This window comes from Homo sapiens, chromosome 1, assembly GCF_000001405.40.
Source record: "Homo sapiens chromosome 1, GRCh38.p14 Primary Assembly".
Classification (NCBI taxonomy): domain Eukaryota; kingdom Metazoa; phylum Chordata; class Mammalia; order Primates; family Hominidae; genus Homo; species Homo sapiens.
Window position 1 is genome coordinate 186,866,918 of NC_000001.11, and position 20,161 is coordinate 186,887,078.

The window sequence follows — 20,161 nt, forward strand, 5'->3', positions numbered from 1 at the left end:
TCCAGTTGTTCCAGCAACATTTGTTGAAAAGACTATCTTTGCTTCATTTTATTGTCTTTTCTCCTTTGTCAAAGATCAGTTGACTTTATTTATGTGCGTCTGTTTTCTGTTCCATTGATCTGGTTTGTTTGTTTATTTTTTTGTTTGTATTTTTTTTATTGCCAGTATCACACTGTCTTGATTACTGTAGCTTTATAGTAAGTCTTGAAGTTGCATAGGGTCAGTCCTCTAATTTTTTTCTTCTCCTTCAAATTTGTGTTTACTATTCTGGGTCTTTTGCCTCTTCATATGAATTTTAGAATCAGTTACTTGTTTTCACAGAATATTTTGTGATTTTTATTGGGTCTTTGTTGAATCTATAGATCACATTGGAAAGAAATGACATCTTTACATTATTGAGTCTTCCCATCCATGAATATGGAATATCTCTCCATTTATTTAGTTCTTCCTTGATTTATTTCATATGAATTTTGTATTCTTCCTCATATAGATCTTCTACATACATTGTTAGATTTATAACTATTTCATTTTGGGGAGTGCTAATATAAGTAGTATTGTGTTTTTAATTTCAAAGTCTACGTGTTCATTTCTGTATATAGAAAAGCAATTGACTTTTGTGTATTAATCTTATCTCCTGCAAACTTGTTATAGTCACATAATTAGTTCCAGGAGTTTTTTTTTAATTGATTATATTGGGTTTTCTACATAGACGTTCATGTTATCTGTAAACAAAGTTTTATTTCTTCATTCTCAATCTATATGCCTTTTATTTCCTTTTCTTATCTTATTGCATCAAATAGGACTTCCAGTACAATGTTGAAAAGGGTGATGACAGGGAAACTCCTTGCCTTGCTCCTGATCTTTTCGGGGAAGCTTCCATTTTGTCATCATTAAATATGACATTAATTATAGGTTTTTTGTAGATGTCCTTTATCAAGTTGATAAAGCTCCCTTCTATTTCTAGCTCACTGAAATTTTTTATTATTATGGATGGATGTTAAATTTTGTCAAATGCTTTTTATTCATCTGTTGATATGATCATGTAATTTTTCTTGTTTAGCTTGTTGATATATGGATTAAATTAATAGACTGTTGAATGCTGAACCAGCCTTGTGTATCTGACATAAACCCCGCTTGGTCACGGTGTATAATTCTTTTTTTTTTTTTTTTTTTTTTTGAGACAGAGTCCTGCTGGAGTCCCAGGCTGGAGTGCAATGGCGCTATCTTGCTTGCTGCAACCACTGCTGCCAGGGTTCAAGCAATTCTCTTGCTTCAGCCTCCCAAGTAGCTGGGATTACAGGCACACACCACCATGCCCGGCTAATTTTTTTTGTATTTTTAGTAGAGATGGGGTTTCACCATGTTAGCCAGGCTGGTCTCAAACTCCTGACCTCAGGTGATCCGCCCGCTTCCGCCTCCCAAAGTGCTGGGATTACAGGCGTGAGCCATTGGGCCCCGCCCGGTGTCTAATTCTTTTTCTATGTTGTTGGACTTGATTTGCTAATATTTTGATGAGAACTTTGGCAAGTATGTTCATGAGAAATATTGGCTTGTAGTTTTCTTTTCTTGTAATGACTTTGTCTGGTTTTGGAATTAGGGTAATGGTGGCCTCCAAGAAAGATTTAAGAAGCATTCCCTCTGCTTTTATCTTCTGGAAAGATTGTAGATAATCGATACAAGAATTGATATAGTTTCCTCTTAAACATGTGGTAGAATTTAACAGTGAAACCATGTGAACATGGTGCTTTCTGTTTTGTAAGGTTATTAATTGTTGATTCAATTTCTTTAATAGATATGCACCTATTTAGATTGTCTATTTCTTCTTATGTAAATTTTGGTAGATTCTATCTTTTAAGAAATCGATCCATTTCATCTAGGTTATCAAATTCGTGAGCATAGAGTTGTTTGTAGTATTTCTTCTGTTATCCTTTCAATGTCCACGCGATCTGTAATAATGTCCCTTATCATTTCTGATATTAGTAGTTTTGTTCTCTCTCTCTCATCCTTTTTTTTTTTTTTCTTAGCATGGCTAATGGCTCATTGATCTTATTGATTTTTTCAAAGAACCAAAGTTTGGTTGCATTGATTTTTTCTATTTCCTGTTTCCAATTTTATTGATTTCTGTTCTAATTTTTATTAGTTTTTGTTTACCTTGGATTTAATTTGCTCTTTTTTTTCCAGTACCCTAAGGTGGTAACTTAGATTATTGATTTTAGTTCTTTCTTCTTTTTTAATATATGCATTCAGTGCTATAAATTTCCCATTCAGTACTGCTTTCAAGGCATCATTCAAATTTTGACAAGGTGTACTGTCAATTTCATTTAGTTTCAAATATTCTTATGATTGATCATTTATGTATAATAAAACTTTGGCTACTCAACTCTTGGATGTTGAAGGTATTTCTTTTTTTAAATAAAGTTGAATAAGCATTATTTTGAAAGATTTTTATGCTTCCCTGCCTTTTTAAACAAGGTATGCTCATTATTCATGTCTTCACCTCTTTGATGCTGTACTATAAATTGAAATATTAATTACATTATTGATGGAGTGATTTCTACAGAAGCTATTGAGTGCTGTCTAATTTTTGTCCATATATTCTACTACTGCTGGTCCTTATCAATCTGTCTACACTTTTGACAATTTTTTTTGCCTCCTTGCATTTAGACTGTCACTGCTCACTTTTCAGTATTGTCAGTATCTGAGCCTCTTTTTAATCAATTATGAACTTTTCAACCAGTTAAGCAAGCCTACTAAAATTAAGGGAAGTGAACTCTCCTAAGATTAAAACAAGAAATGTTTGAGTTTTAGATAAAGACCTTGTAATCTTCTCAGTTGCTCCAAGAACTATGTGAGTTCCTGCTTCCTCATTCTGCTTTAGTGAGTAGAATTGTTTGATAACTGTTTCCCATTTAGGTGAAGTGTCTAATGAAGTCCTCTACCTGTTAATGTTTTATTATGTTTATGCAAGGTGTTAGGCTAATAGCAAATTTTAATATTCTTGCATATGATTTCTAACAAATGCATTACAATTAGTGCAATTTGTTTGCTGCTTATTGCCTTGGTTCCATAGGGTTTTGAAAGCTGTACTGGAAATGTCATGCAGAAAAGACTTTTGATTGACTGCTTCAGTGAACAGCAACAACAACAAACGAATCTAGAATGTCTTGCTCTGAGTTCACCTTTATAAGCCAGGGCTTCCTAGTCAACAAGTACAAAGCCTGATTGTGCTCCTAGAATACCTGCAGTCCTGATTTACATTTTTTACCAAGTGCTTGGTAAACTGGACTGCAAAGAAGTGCTCATAGTCAAGCTGTAGTGACATTTTAAGGCACAATCTAAACTCAATGATTCTGTGATGAGAGAGAAGAGAGTCAAAAAAGAAGCAGCCTTACATCAAAGAATGTTTCTGGTATGCATGCTACTTGTTTTTAAGTAGAATATTTTAAATTAATCTCAAGGAAAAAATGAGGTTCTATGTTGGAAGCTTATTTTAAATTTACTGTCATTTTATTTCCAGGTGGAGCACCAGTATTCCCACAAGTTTACGGTAGTGGTGTTACGTGCCACCAAAGTGACAAAGGGGGCCTTTGGTGACATGCGTAAGTGCCCTTTTTTTCTTTGCTGTTAAACATGTAATTATGGTTCAGCCTTTAATTGCTTGAGTTCCTTGACAAATCGGAGGTTCTGCCTTCTTCAAATGTGGTTATGTTTGTCTAGATCTTTGAATGATAACATTTCAAACAGTTCTCTGATGCTATCTGTCAGATTAGCATTTTACCTGGGCCTTAAATTAGCCAAAGTGACAAAGGGGGCCTTTGGTGACATGCGTAAGAGTGCCCTTATTTTCTTTGCTGTTAAACGTATAATTATGGTTCAGCCTTTAATTACTTGAGTTCCTTGACAAATCAGAGGTTCTGCCTTCTTCAAATGTGGTTATGTTTGTCTGGATCTTTGAACGATAACATTTCGAACAGTTCTCTGATGCTATCTGTCAGAACAGCATTTTACCTGGGCCTTAAATTAGCCGAGATCACTTGGAGTCAGACAAAATGATTTTCTTGTGACGTACACATCTTGGGAATTCAAAGAAATTTTGTTCAATTTTGCTTCTAAAAGAATACTGAGTAAAGACTTTAAACAAGCTGCCTCTGTGAGGTATTATGCACTTAGAATTGTTAAAATGTAGTTTTTCTCTAGTTCTTATGCCTTTGAGTGTGTTTATTTTGTATGGAATAGCCATAGAAACTGGTATAGGACAGCCTGAAATGATGCGATCCACAGCCTGAGGATAATGCTGAATTAACTTGTTGACAGTATCTTTCTCCATGTTTTTAAAAAAGGCAATTTTCCTTGTAGAATCTTATTATTTAAATCATTGGAATTCGTGCAAGTGGGAATACAAATAACAATGGATACAACAAAGTATTATGATGATGAATTTGATAACATCTTAGATTTAATAATGTCTTAGATTTAACATCTTAGATTGTTAATATGGGAATGGATAATTTAACTCTCAAAACAGGTTTTGGGAAAGAGAACAGAGATTGCAATGTATCGTCCAGGAAACAGGTAGGGTTCCCAGCCCAAATGACATTTAAACTGGTACCTAAAGGAGAAGTATCTTGGTCATGAGAGCAAGAAGTCCTAGGCAGAGAAAACAGCGTGTTCCAAAGCAAAAAGACCAGAATGCTTGTGAGGAGCTAGAACCGACCCAATATTACTAGAGAATAGATAACGGAGGTGGGGGCTGGAAGGGCAGATGAGACTAGGATGATAAGCCCTGGTAAGACAAAGACTTAGGACTGAGATTTTTTCATTAATGCAATGGAAAGAATTTGATGGCATTTAAGTAGTAAGTCACACAACTGAATTTTCATTTTTCAAAATGTTGTGACTGTAGTATGTTAAATATATTGGAGAGGAATGTGGAAAATAGGTTTTTCTTTTTTTTCAAAGAACAGGAGGGACTTCAGCCTGTTGAAATGGCAATGAAAATGCCAGTAAAGAGGGAGGAGTTAGATACTAAGAAAAGAAAGAATGTGAGCTTAAGGCTCATATCATCAGTGAATGAGGAGAGTCCAGGAAGTTGGTAAATGTCTGAAGCAAGGAGAGGATTGTTAGGTAGAATCTAACAGCAAGAGTTTTGGCTGAGCAGTGGTTTTCATGACAGGTGAGGAGAGCAATGGCAATTTCTTCAAAACTAGCTTCGATCAGATGTTTACATTTTAAATTTTATCTCAGACTTCAGTTTAACCCATCTAATCATCCCTTTATTAATATTTTTCTGAAGTTATTCTTATTTTGCTTTTTACAGTTCTTTTCATTTTCACCATTTTAAATGAGAATTTACTGAAAGAAAGGCCCCTGCGAAAGAGAAGCCTCATTAGAAGCTGTATTTAGACACTATTACCCACCATACTCTTAAGAAAAGGCGTGCGTTTTACAACCAAAGAGGCCACGCTGTGTGTTGGAAAAGCCATTCTTAATTCCACTAAATTCTGTGTCAGTAGCTTGTCAGGCATGCAAAAGACAGAGCTAATTTGACTTTCAAAAATACAGCTATTATCTGTTAGATAAAGCAGCAGCAATCCCCCCACCCCTTTTTTTTAATCAATGAAGCGTTCTGTTGTGTAGAGACAACGGCTGTTATTGTGCTTAAGATGAGTCCAACAGCAGTTCAAACTTTATACTCCATGAGTCTCTTTCAACTGGTGTGGATCTGATTTTCTAGCAACTTCATGGTAGGCCCAGGCACTTTGGCAATGGTTATTTATTATAATTAGAATAGGGAAAAAAGTAATGCTGAAAGTTTCATTTTAAATCTCTTTGAATTGATATTGATAATATTACTAGAAGAATGAACCTGAGATATTAATTAATCTCCTGGGACAGGGAACATTTAGGTTTTGGTTCCCCACAGTGTACATAACACAGATTAGACTCTTAATTTTAGAAGCTTCCTTTTTAAAGTGAAGGACCCATGGAAGGAATGGCCACTGAAGATTAATTGCTGTGGCAGAAAGGACAGTGTTATGGCATTCTGTTAGAATTTTTATTCAGCATTTGTAATTGGATTTTTTTTTGAATTGTTACTTTTGTGTGTGTGTGGGGAGGGAGTTGTTGTCGACCATTTATATCACCTTAATGAGTGCACAAGAGTCGGGAAGAGACAAAAAGAACATGAAGGAGTGTTAGAGAAATAAATATAGTGATAAAGTTACTAAGGAAAAGTGAATAGATGATATATAGTGCCAACCACTTTATTTTTGAAAAGTTGTGGGAGACTCTGGTGAGAAAAGGCACAGGTATTAGCCATCACTTTTCTGAGAGGAATTTTGATGATATTTCTTGGAGAGCTTGATCTATACAAATTACCAAATAGCTGAATTTGGGGTGTTTGTATATAGCAGTTCTTTAAACATAGACAAGAATAGAACTATAAGAACTATTTTTAAAAGTCCTAAGATCTGTGAAGACCAGGATCGCAGAATTCTACATCCTCTTCTGTTGTTGATAGTGTCTGCACTTATTTATAAAGGTAGAGTTCCATAAAATTCTACATCTTGGTAAAGAAGAATGATAGATTACTATTGGAGTTTTCTGCCTTGCTTGTGTGTCTGAGTGCTTTCTCAACGGTACCAAGACAAATAAAAAATCAACTAGTTAATTCTTGGTAAAATATTCATATCTCCTTTTAAAGAGGATAGTGCTAAGGTTATATCTATTTTTTATTTTGTCCTTTGATAAATCATGCTACCCTAACTACCTACATTTAGAAATATGCTTCTGCACTGTTAAAACCTCAGAATAAAATCAGCAACAACCAATAAACTGTCTTTTGAAGAGTCAGAGATGACATTTTAATTTATAGCATCTCTTTCATTCCTTGTTTTCACTTGAGGGCATTGACAAGCCAAGAATAAGACAGCTGCCAGTTCCTTCCCAGACATGGTTGCTAATTTCAGTGTTACTCAAATGCAGCATTTATACCCAGTGCTCTAGTGATGACTCCTTCTGCATTCTTATGTTTACAGTTCATAGGAAGAGGCAGTTTGAAGTTCACATTTACACCTGACTCAAAATCATCGCTCTATTTTTATCTTTGAAATAAGTAGCTTGCACTAATTTGGCAATATTAATGTAACTTTTACTTTTAAACCTACAGGAAGTTGTTGTAGATGTGATATGTAACAAGCTACATGTCAGCATCATGTTGGGTGCTAAATGTTGGGTTAATGTGTGTTAAACTCTATACTCTACATTGTCCCTTTCCTCTTTTAACAGAAGATATGTTTGCAGAATGGCTGCAGTGAGTGTAGTATTTCAATTGGTCATAGAATTTTCTTTGTGCCTGTAAGAAACAGAACACACAACTCTGGCCACAAACTTCATTTTATAACCAAATGAAATAGCTGACACAAATGCAATAGCTACCTTACTGAATTTCTGCTTCTTTTAGAAGTGTTGGGGAAAACACAGATCCTGAATGATAATGGAGGCTAGCCTTAAAATTCAGAACTATTAGAGCCATGTTTCACTCCCTGCTATGAGATTAGATAAGAAATGCCATAGTGTTTTTTAAGTGATTAAATACCACAGAATATTAGAGTTTTAGAACTATCCTAATTATGGATATATATACTGAGGATTCTTTCCTTGTCTGGCCCCTTTATTAGACACATAAACTCTTTTTCTTTACAGAATTAGCATCATAAACATTAGAGCTTCCAAGAACAGGTGTAGGATTGCAGGTGGATCTAACTTTACTTAAGTATTCAGATGACAACAGTGTTTAATGCTCACATTTATACTCTAATAAAAAATACATATGCTTGGGAAAATTTTGAACTCATTGTATTCAAGCCAATTTTATAAGATCGTATTAATATCTTAACATACTTCTTTAAGATTTTCTTAATAACCTCAAGCTCTTAATATTCAAAAAGTCTGTGCCTGTAGGTAAATGATATTCTGTTTCTGATAACTTCCTGGCAAGATTTGGATCAAGTTTCTAATTTTAAAGGGTTGTGCCATTTGCAGTTCTAAGGCTGGACCTAATCTTCCACAAACAGTGCTTCTTAAATTATAATGTCCATATGAGTCACTGGGGGTTTTTATTCAAAATGCAGATTTTGATTCTGTAGGTTTGGGGAGTAGATTCCGAATTTCTAACATACAGCTGATGTAGACATTGCTGACCCATGAACCACATTTTGAAAGACAAGGTCTAGGCAATTTCTTCTAGTTTATGTTTGCTTACCCTGAGATCTATAGGACTTGTGAGCAGAGCAAAGACTTTAAAAATCCATGATGGAACAAAGATTCTAAGACTTTTGTTTTTTGCTGATTTTACTTTTGTAAAATGAAATAATCATGAATACATTAATACTGTTTATTTTTGAAATTCTTATAAAAGGATGCTTAATTACATGACTCATTATATTATCAATGAGAATGATAGAAATAAACACAAATACCTTAATACCACAATTATAATGTTAAATTCTGAAATTATTTTATACTAAAATCATGAAAATACCAGATTACAAGCCATGAGAAAACAAGAACATATTTTTTATTGTTTCAAAAGTCACAGTGCTCACTTCATGTTAAATGATTAATGCATGAAATGTACTATACACACACACACACATTTACAAATATATTCTTTCCCTCATACATATAAAGATACCTTCCACAAATAGTTTAATATATAATTCTCTTTCAGCTTAATTGGTGATTGTGTGATATTTGACTGTGTGATATTTGATTGTGTGATATTTGTGATCCATCTAAGAACCCAGGCAGCGTCACTCTAGGTACCCTGCTTTTAACCACTGCAGCATGGTAAAATACTGTTTTATTCTCTCCTGCAAAGAGCTTTGGTTCCGATGTGGCATCCTCATGGTGTAATATGTTTCCACTGTATGAAGTTTAGGTAAATCCTTGCTGCTAGTGAAAATATGGCTGTTCTCCCAAAGGGAAGATTAAACTTTCACCTTTCACACATTGTCAGAGAATGTAAGCACAAAACCAGGGTGATTCCAAACGGAATGAAAAAGTTTTTTTGAATGTTTTAGACCACGTGCTTTCTTGTGGGGACTTGTGAAAACTTGAGTTTGTTCTGCCTTATGGCCTTGAGGAAAGAAGGAACCCACTGTGCCTTCACCTCTCCTTTAGTGGAGATGTGTTGTCTAGGATGAGTCAGCAACAGTTCTGATGTGGGCCTTGTAATGTGAGGGATGCATGTTGAACATTTATAAGATTCGCGAAATAACTATGAAAGTTTTTTTAACGGTTTATTTTGACAGTATGCTCATGCATAAAGTAGATATTCTAAATATGTGCAAATGTTCAGTTCTTTTTAAATCACGCTGTGTTGCTTTTTATGTCTTTGAAGTCCTGTGGAAAAATTTCTAAAAGTGAACACATCACCGTGTAAGGGTGTGGATAGTCTCTATATTCTTGCTTAGGGCCATGAAATCTCCCCTTATATGATTTTTCCAAATCACATTAATTTTGATTGTGAGCCCTATTCCCTAGAGAAGGTGGGGGAATTCAGTGATCTCCCTCACTCCAAGGTCCTACAGGAATTCTAGGCATTTATAATTGCCTATAAATTAGGAGTAGGGCTTGCATAATCTTTGCTGTTTGCCATCACTGGCATCAACCCGTCTGTTAAATGTTGTCTTCGTGGATTCTGGCCATCCACTTTTTGGCAGGCACTAAAATGCCTTTCAGAGCAGTCTTCCCCAGCGATCACGCAGCACACCAGGGAGATTTTACTGCTGTTCTCCGGGTGATGGTGTTTAGAGTTCAGACTCCATGGCCATCCTGTAGTCACCATGCAGTGTACAATGCACAAGAAGCATGGGCTTCTAAAACTTGTAGAAACTAAAGAAAACCCAAATGCATAACATTTTCCCGAAGGGTAACCCTCTTTCCTTCAGCTTTATCTCTCCAATGTTGCAGCCTCAGTCCTCTCACCTGTAGGGCGACCTGCTTAATCCTCTTCAGAGGTCCCACCTCTCAATACAAAGTGTTAATCATTCCCTTGGAAAAAGGAGCTTAGAACTCAATCTTCCTATTTGTAAATATTGGGGTGAGAAGCAGGGTGTTGGATATTTAGGGAAACATTATCTATTTAATCTTTTAAGAGTCTTCTTTAGCAATAAGAGCATGTAGGAATCAATATGAAAATAAATGATCTGTTTGGTAGCTATTCTTGAGTTTCACAGTGATCAGAAGCTCCAGGAAAGATGGAGAGGGCAGACTACTCGCGTGTCCTGTGTCCTTGGGCAGATTACTTCTCCTGTCTCTGCCTTCCACTATCTTGGGAGATATTGAGATATAGAACGAGTTGACGTATGCAAAGTACTTATATGCCTAACACACAGTAAGTGCTCAATAAATGTGACCCATTATTATCACAATTGTTTCGAACACAATTATGAAAAGACATCTATTTCTTCAACGTCATCTTTGTATGAACCAAGAATATTCTTTTGGGTAGTCTGTGCATTTGACTAATTTTCAATTTTTCACCTTAGAGACAAGAAATGTCCATTATGAATTTCTGTGTTGAGCAAATTATTGGACCCTTCTTTCTCAGCTTGAGAGAACAAAATGGAGAATGGTATCTCCATTGTTAAACACTTTTCCGAAAACACTTGGGTATATTTCACTCCCTGTGCTCCCTCAGCAGCTGTCTAGATTTCTTTGTAACACTTGTCACATGGGAGTATAATCATGCACTTTTAAGACTAAGGCCTGAGGCTTACTCACAAAAAAAAAAAAAAAAAAAAAAAAAAAAGAAGCTTAATTCTGATTCTGGCATAGCAGTAAGATCTCAGGGAATATTGGATGAATGAGTAAAATATATGAAAGTGTGTGATTATTACTTTTTTTTGATATTGCTTCCTTTTTTGCTTCAGTGAGACAGAATTTTAGAAAACAATTTTATACTTCACTTTTTAAAGATTATAAATGACTCTTATTTCTATCCACTACTAACTAGAATTTTTCTGAGGTTGCATGCACAGGAAATTTTACAACACCTTTGAGTGAATTTAATTAATCTTTTTTACATTAATTATGGAGTTTCAAATCTTATTTTTTATAAATGACATTGCTGTTGGTCTATACTTTGGCTAAAGTATATACTAAAATATATCTTTTCTGATATATTTTATATATATCTATATAAATATATCTTTTCTGATATATTTTATATATATCTATATAAATATATCTTTTCTGATATATTTTATATATATCTATATAAATATGTCTTTTCTGATATATTTTATATATATCTATATAAATATGTCTTTTCTGATATATTTTATATATATCTATATAAATATATCTTTTCTGATATTTTTATATATATCTATATAAATATATCTTTTCTGATATATTTTATATATATATATAAATATATCTTTTCTGATATAAATATTTCCTTAAATCAGTCTTCAGGTTATGACTGAACATGAGTTTTAGTTTATTAATGGTTTTGGAATGTTTTAGAGTATCCACCCAAGATTTTAAAAATTCTAAGTATAATGAAATTGTTTCCCAATGGTCTTTTCATGGAAGATAATTTCAAGATGAGTAAAGTGTTTCATAACGCATGTCTCTCTCACATCTCTTATCTTGTCTTTTCTGTGTAGTGGAGAAATATAATGTGTTAGTAAGGCACTGTTGTTCCTTCCTCATCTGCTTAGAATGTCAGGTAGTTTACGAAGTTGTTAAGTGGTTTTATGAATACAGTTAATCCTTTCCATCTCTGTACTTTATTAGATTTTTTTGTTTGTGTATGTGTGTATTCATGTGTTTTAGGTCGGATGAACACAGTGAATAATATTCTATGATATTTCAATAATGTCAATTGATCAAAAACCATATGCCACTTCTGTAGAGAAAGTATGTGATTAAAATCTAATGGAATTAAATTTAAACAGAGACTAAATGTTTCTTAAATTACCAAGGACAAGTATGTTCTTAAAGTGTTTATGTCTAAGAGAATACCTCTGCTGCTCTAAAAATTTAAACATTTATGTGAAAATGCTTACTATATGTTATTTTAGTATATCTTAATATTATAAAATCTTTCTTAAAAATAAAAATTAGGTAATGTAGAGACTGAAATGATGGATTAAACTTAGCTGAGCTGTGGTCTGAGGGTCTCTGTAAATTTTACTGGCTCCTTGGATGCACTTTTTCATTCTCACTCCTCACTTAATATATCAATATATTTTAATGAAATAATTTAGATAAAATTCCAGACAAAAATATTTTTAGTTGATGTATAAGAATAATGCAAATCTCCAGATGCAAAACAAAATGACAACGTTGAGATTTTAACTTCGAAATGAAATATTAAAGAAATATAACCCAGTGCGTATTCCAGCAAGGCCTGACTAATGTCCACATCAGTAATTGCTGAGTATGTGCTATGTAGTTAGTACTTATTTAGTACCTTGAAAATTACAAGAAAAATAATGATAATATCTACTGTGGGTAACTTTATGGAGTGTGTAATTTATAACAAAGAGGAAGCATTGTTTAGTGGTTTAAACAAGGACTCTGAAACTGTCTTGCTTGGGTTCAAATCTCCCTTCTGCTACTTATTAACCATGTGAACTTGGACAAGTTACTTGGCTGTTTTATGTCTCAGTTTCTTCAACTGTTAAATGGGAGTAATAATCCTACTATTATTTATGAAGCTTAAATGAAATTATGGCATAGTATGCACAATATAAGTGTTTCTTAAATAAACAAAAATCCTAAGCAAACTTCTTAGGACTTTACATTATACATACTTTATGTATTCATTTCAGTGATACTTTGAGATATGTACTGTCTTTATTTTAATTTTTTTATTTTAATTTTTGTTTATTTTTATTTATTTATATATATATTTTTTTATTATATTTTAAGTTCTAGGGTACTTGTGCACAACATGCAGGTTTGTTACATATGTATACATGTGCCATGTTGGTGTGCTGCACCCATTAACTCGTCATTTACATTAGGTATATCTCCTAATGCTATCCCTCCCTCCTCCTCCCACCCCACAACAGGCCCTGTGTAAGAACTTTGGTTAAAGTTTAGTTAACATAGTCCAGAATCACAGAGCTGTTATGTTTTGGGGCTGGAACTCAAACTTGCCTCACTTCAATGTTTACTTGTGCAGCAGCTTTGCCTGTGAGCAGTGTGTGGGGTAAGTGGGAAGATGAAATGGGCTTAAATAACCCTTTGGAAAAATGCTGCCAATAAGAGAAGACTTTACAGCTTGAATGTAGATTGAGATGGGCTTTATAACTTAGGTAGCCTTTTAATATATGGAATGGGTAGGGGTTGCATTTCAATTTTGGAAAAGAAAATCATAAGAACAATATTTAAAGTGAGATTGACATAATCTGTCCAATATATATTATTTAGGGAGCTTAGCTATTTTTTTATGATTTATGCTAGTGAATAAATATCAAGAATTATGTCTTGCTTTAGTGCAGTGGTTCTAAACTGGGAAACAATTTTGCCTCCTGGTGCACACTGGGCAATATTCTAGAGACATTTTTGTCAAAATCGGGTATTTCTATTGGCATCTAGCAGCTAGAAGTCAGGGACAACACCATAGAGCAAAGAGTTACCTGGCCCAAAATGTCAATAGCATTAAGGTTAAGAATCTCTTTTTAATGAAAAAGAATAATTTTTCTTGCCTACAGTAAGTGGAATTCATATATATTTAAATCCATATAGCTAAAATGAATAATATGAATAAATTAATATGTTTTATCACGGTATATAAGAATTTCTGGAGAATTACTCTTTCTATTCAATCTAGAAAGATTCCAAGAAACATCCGTACATTCTAAGCATTTAAAACATTCCAAGCATAGATACAGATTCCAAAGATATGTTTTTTCCCTCCAAGAAGATATCACAGAAGTTTAAGTAAAATGACACTGCAGGCAACAACGACACTTTCAATTCTGTTTTAGATCTACATTTAGTCTTCTTTGTGTTGTTTTGGCGTATATTTCTCCCCATTTTCCCATGAATATCAACATCTTTGCAATAAATCATTTTTATTGTATACCAACTCTCAGTTAGCTATTCATTAATGTACTAAATCAATTGCTAGTACGAAATGTACCAAGTTGATCATGAGTGGATACTATTGTGCTGTCTTGCTGACATCCATTTGACTGATGGCACTTTCTGATAGTGTCATGCTGCCTTACACTCCCTTACAAAAGGAAATGTGACTTTAGAAAGCACTATTATACATATTCAGCCTATGAGAAAAAAGGAAATGAAATGTACAGCTTAACTTGGAGACTGCCTAATAAAGGGATTTCAACATAGTGTTAATAAAACTGCATTGTAATTTCAAATGAGGGAAAGGCATTCCACATTTGAGTTCCTAGGCAATGCTCAAGTTGTTGTAAAATCTTTACTCCTTTCTCCCCACAGAATTACTGCCCAAGTTCTGTTTACTAAACCACATTGGATTCTTCACTAACTTTTCCAGCTTCTGCACTCCCAGCAATTCCCAGGAATTGTCTTTCAGCATCTATAGCCATAACGCTTATAATTTTGATCTCTTTCTGGAGGGAGCAGGGGCTGCTACATGTAAACAAGTCCTGTGGCACTCTGCCTATTCCTTGGAGTTATTATGAAGGGAGGTAAGCTGAGGTTCAGGTTTTTTTAATATAAAATTAATACTTACAAATAAAGGTTAATTACAAATATACTTGGAAGAAATGACTGACATTGATTTATATTACAATCCAAATAAACAGGTTGGGGACAAACACCAGGAGGGTTGAGACCTATTACCAAAGAGTAAAATGAAGTTTGAGTGGAGACTGTTGTGCCTATGATAAAGGTGACCTGTTCCACAGTATCGGTTAGGGTCAGTCCATCATCCTTTCTTTTAGTAATGTGTATCATGTTCCTATATCTCAGACTTCATGTGAGACTCTTGGACACAGGAGTGAATAGGAAGGCTGTGCTCACTGCTATCATGGAGTTTACAGTTTCATAGAGACAAAAAGAGGTAGAAGTTATTAGTACTGGAATATTTGACTGAGCAAGAACTCTGGTTTCAGAAAGACTGGGTTAAAACCCCAACTCTGAATGAACTTGCTCAGCTCACTAAATGCCTCTGAGTCTCAATTTCTTCACCTCTGATGGAAATAATAATACCTAATCAGCAGGTTGAAGCTTTATGTGGAATTATTTTTATTTTATGCAGATGTATCTAGATAAAACCTCTGGGGAACTTGATTTAAAGTTGCCAGTTTCACCCAATAGGAAAACAAAACAACTAGTTGACTAGGGAAGTGGGGACTAGATAAGGAAAGAATGGAGAGAACATCTCATTCCCCATATTTCTTAACTGTACCGTCTTTGGACTCTTATCTTGGATATTCTTGGGACAAGAACAACAACTTGAATAAACTTTAGCTATCAGCTAAAACGTCAAAAGAAAACATAACAACATGTACAACTAAAAGTACAGCAAAGATCTGTTAGAATGAATATTTCTGCCATCAATATGCCTGTGTGGAATGTTTGAAATGTGTAGATTCCAAAGATGCCTCTTTGCCGTAGAGTGATATTCCAGTGAATGGCTGAGAAGGGTCACTGACTAGAGGGAGAACCTTGGGTTTGATGGGGGGTTGGGAGGGAGCCTTTAAGTCTTTCTCACCATATTTAGGCCTGACTTGGTAGGCAGTGAAGGTCAAAAGTGTGTTTCAGAAGGATAGTTGTGGTTGCATTATAGAAGGTGCCTTGAGAATAAGCAACTAAGAGATTATGCTAATAGTCTATGTGAGAGGTGGTGCTTAGTTGAATCGGGGCAATTATTTTGAATGAAATGAAGGAGTCAGATGTTAACATCATTTTGCAAGTGAAAAGCTAAAACTTAGAGACAGATTGGATATTTGAATCGTGAAGAAAAGACAACTCTCGTGTTTCTAGGCCAGACGGTTAGAAAAGATGACATCATTAAATAAAATAGGAAAGAAAGTGAGGAAAAATAACAAGTTTTTATTTTAGTTTTTTTTTGTTTTGTATTAATTTTTGTCTTACATTTAGGAAAAGAATGATGAAAATAAGTTTGCTTTGTAAATATTGAGTTTGAGGTATCTTTAAGGTATTCAAGGTATTTTTGAGGCATTTGAGAGCAGATTTAAGATTTCAGAATGGAGGTAGGGCTCACAGATGTAGATTAGGGAGACACTGACATTTATGTGCAAGGCAGAACTAAAGGAGTGTTAAAGAAAATCCAGAACTGATTCAGAGTAACTAAACAGGATTGAACTATTTCAAAATATATTACTTAAGAATAGATTATATGTTAACATATAATCAAGAACCTCATATATGTCATGTTTATACTTCTTCCCCCTTGTAGCCTTGAGGATATGAAGGAATGCATTGTAGCTGCCATTTAAACCTTGAAGATAATCAACTTTAAAGGATCTGAGATTAACTAGACTACACAATTAATGCATGTCATGTGATATGAGGGGTGCATATTGAGTGTTTTCAAGACCATATAAATAACTGCGATCATTCCTTTGCAACTTGGTTTTGACTACATGAGCAATACAGTGTTCAAAGGCCTCGCTTCCTTTTGAAGAATTCTAATAAGAGATTTGTAAGGGACACAAGAAGAAAGTCCACAGTTTAGTGATGAGTTGAGGTGGAGAAAGCTGGTGAAAGATATAGAGGAACTATTTAGAGAGGTAGGTAGGAAATCACAAAATAATGATATATTAGACACAAAAGAAAGATAATTGCACCAAGGATGTTGCATATGTGTTAAGTAAAGTGAGAAAAAGCTCACTGAATTTGGCATTGAAGTTAGGTTCGAGAGAATGAACCGATTAGGGTAACAGAAGAAGGCAGAGGACAGTAGGTTGGAAACTTATGGAATAATGAGATTTAGAAGCAGTAAGTGTAGACTATATTTTTCCAAAATCTTTGATGTAGGAGAGAAAAGATCTGGAAGAATTGTAAGAATTAATGAAATTTTGTTCATTTTTTTAAGGATGCCCAATATTTGTTTATATTTATAAGTTGAGAGAAAGTAGCTAAGGCAAAACCAATATTTACAGATTAAATTTGAGGCTGGGGATTAAAAAATAAGAAATATCCGAGAGAAGCGGTATTGAGAGAAGAGTGTAAGGATACTTTTACTTCTAAGATAATAGAGGAAGAACTTAAATATGAATACATTATTAAATTATAAACATATTTTTTAAATTGTGAGATATAGGGAAGGAAAATTGAAGGACTACATCTAATCCTCCCCCTTTTTTTTTTTTTTTTAGTGAAGTGTGAGTCTGAATTGTGTCCTCAAAAGAGAAGTAGTAAGTAGGGTAGGTGGCTTGAAAAAAACAGTACATGTTTTAGCAGCCATGTGGAGAATGGTGGGTGGAGGGGAAGGATAGGGATGATTATAGTTTGGCCAAGTTAGGAACTAAATGGTCACTGAAGTATGCTAAAGTGACTAATAGCAGTGTATTTACTTTTCCTAAGAACAACTTAGGAAACACATATTAAATTAATTTTTTTAAATGTCTAGAGGAATGAAAAGCTGATGAGTAAACTGGGACTTGAGGGACTAAGATCTCAGAAGAGAAATAAGCCAGGCTTGGCGTGGTGGCTCATGCCTATAATCCCAGCATTTTGGGGAGCCAAGGCAGATGAATTGTTTGAGCCCAGGAGTTCGAGACCAGGCCTGGACAACATGGTAAAACCCCATCTCTACTAAAAACACAAAAAATTAGCTGAGCATGATGGTGTGAGCTTGTAGTCCCAGCTACTTGGGGAAGGGGGCTAAAGTGTGAGGATCACCTGAAACCAGGAGGTTGAGGCTACAGTGAGCTGAGATGGCACCATGGTGCCACTGCACTCCAGGCTGGTTGACAGAGTAAGATCCTGTCTTCAAAAAAAAAAAAAAAAGAAGGAATAAGCTCATATTCTGCAAGCCACGTTTTCCCTCAGTCTATTAGTTAGCTGCATCTAGGTAGGTTGGAGGGGAGTGATAGGGATATGGGAAGTAGCCAAGCAGTGAAGAGGCCAATAATCCAGCAGAGCTTTGTCAACCTCAAAGGACTTGGGGTATAAAGACTGGATTTTAGGACAAAATAAGTTGATTTTGAGAAGCCAAGTTCCTTGAGAGAAAGCCTAGAGAAGAAGTATGCCTGACAGCCAGCACCTTCATCACGAGGCACTAGCCAAATTCTTGATTCATGCAGGGCAACAGTCTGAGAAGCAAAAATAAAAACCTGAAAAACAGGACAAAGATATTGGCAGTCTCATAAGAGGAAACAAACAAACAAACAAACAAGGAGATCAGAGAGACCAAATTAAAAGGGGCCTAATAAATACCCTTGACTTTAAGTTGGGAGCCTTAGAGTGGGAGTGAACAAGAGGTAGACTAACCTTACAAAGAATGAAATCAATTCATTTGTTAAAATGCAATAGAGGCTATCAGTCCTACTTTCTCTGCCTGCCAGAGAATAAAGTGGGTCATCTGTGGAGGTAGATCTAGCTCTTCCATAATTTGTCATAAAAAAGTCTGGCATTCAGTCAAAGGTTGACTGAATTATAAATATTCAGCGGCTTATAGAATATGAGTGTAACAAAAATAAGATCAAGAAACAAACAGATCCACAAGTATTGGATATGGATCTTAAAATAACTAAGAGTAATATGTTCAAGAAAATAGATGCTAAGATGGAGGATTTTACCAGGAAACCAGATATATACAAAATAATCAAATGGAAAATTTTAAACTGAAAAACACAAGAAATTAAGAACTCAGTAGATGGTTTTACTGTAGTTTGAAAACAGTTAAAGAGAGAATTACTGAACTGAAAAATAAGTCTATAGAAAATATCCAGACTGAAACACAAAAGACAAATAAGGAAATAAAATATAGAATAAAAAGCTAAGGAATATCTGGGGTATGACAAAAAGCATTGGGAAGAGAGAGGGAATAGGGCAAAAGTAATATTTGAAAATATAATGGCTGGGTATTTTCTGTAGCCAATAAAATATATTGAAAAGCAAATGACCAAGAGTGGATTTCTCAACAAAACAGAGAGGAACCATAAGATATTAGTTGACATCTTTGAGGTGTGGAAATAAAGCAACTGCCAGTATAATCCTGAAGATATTGAACAAAGTTCCAGGACTTAGACTACCTGATATTACAATTAATATAAAAATATTATAATTAAGACAGTTTGGTATAGGCGTGGTATAGATGCAAGCTTAAATGATAGATTAATGGACTAATAGACAAACGAAGTCCAGAAACAGACTTACACTTTTATGTGACCACTTGATTAATGCAAAGTTTATACTGCAATGCAAGGGCTAAAGGCAGTATTCCCAATAAATAATGCTGGGTCTATTGGTTACACAGGGAAAAAGACTGAATCCTAACTCCTACCTCATACCTCAACCAGCTTAGTACATGGGTAGCGAAAAGGTTGACAATCGTAAAAGCTGCTCTAAGATCTCTGTGTGTAATTAGCAATGTTATTACATCATAAATATATCAAAGGAATGACCACATCTGAGAATAGTATTCAGAGGCATTTCGTTCAACAAATTTTCATTTAAGTTTTGGTCTTACTTCTTCTCGTTTAGTCATTTCTACTTTGTTGATAATTGAAGCATAACATTTGAAGAGCAGTCCATCACCTTAAACAGATTGCCAACTAACACACCCACACTTAATTTATTCTTGCATTTATTTTCTCGTGGCCATTTGAAAATGTATTTTATGTCTGGAGAGAAATAGAAGTAAATGACTGGACTGGGCTTAATCTAGTCTATGGGCAGAATAACTCCTTGACAGAAGAACAGTAACTTTGTTGCCTTCTCAATGTCAAAATGTTTGTAATTTTTCTGTGGGTGTTATTATACTCCTGTTCTTTAGTTCCTCGTAATATTATACCTTAAGCCCCTGTTCTTCAAATGTCTGAATAATAATCACCTGGTCAATTGTCAAAATGCAGATTTCCAGGCCCATGCTGGAGAATATGATTGAAGGTGCTAAGGTTCTGCATTTTTAACGGCACTGCAGATGAATCCGTGAAGGTCATGGTATTTCAATGGA

The 20,161-nt window shown here is 34.6% G+C and overlaps 1 protein-coding gene across 5 annotated transcripts in view; it reads left to right on the forward strand.

Annotated features, from left to right (window-relative positions):
- PLA2G4A (phospholipase A2 group IVA) overlaps positions 1 to 20,161 on the forward strand; it is a 160,033-nt gene that overhangs the window by 37,969 nt on the left and 101,903 nt on the right. For 4 of the 5 annotated variants that reach the window (XM_011509642.3, NM_024420.3, NM_001311193.2 and 1 more), the window contains exon 3: positions 3,518 to 3,599. In XM_011509642.3, the coding sequence (XP_011507944.1) occupies positions 3,518 to 3,599 (82 nt within the window). Of the gene's footprint in view, positions 1 to 3,517; positions 3,600 to 3,679; positions 3,828 to 20,161 lie in introns of those variants that run through there. The other variant, XM_005245267.5, reaches the window with a different exon arrangement.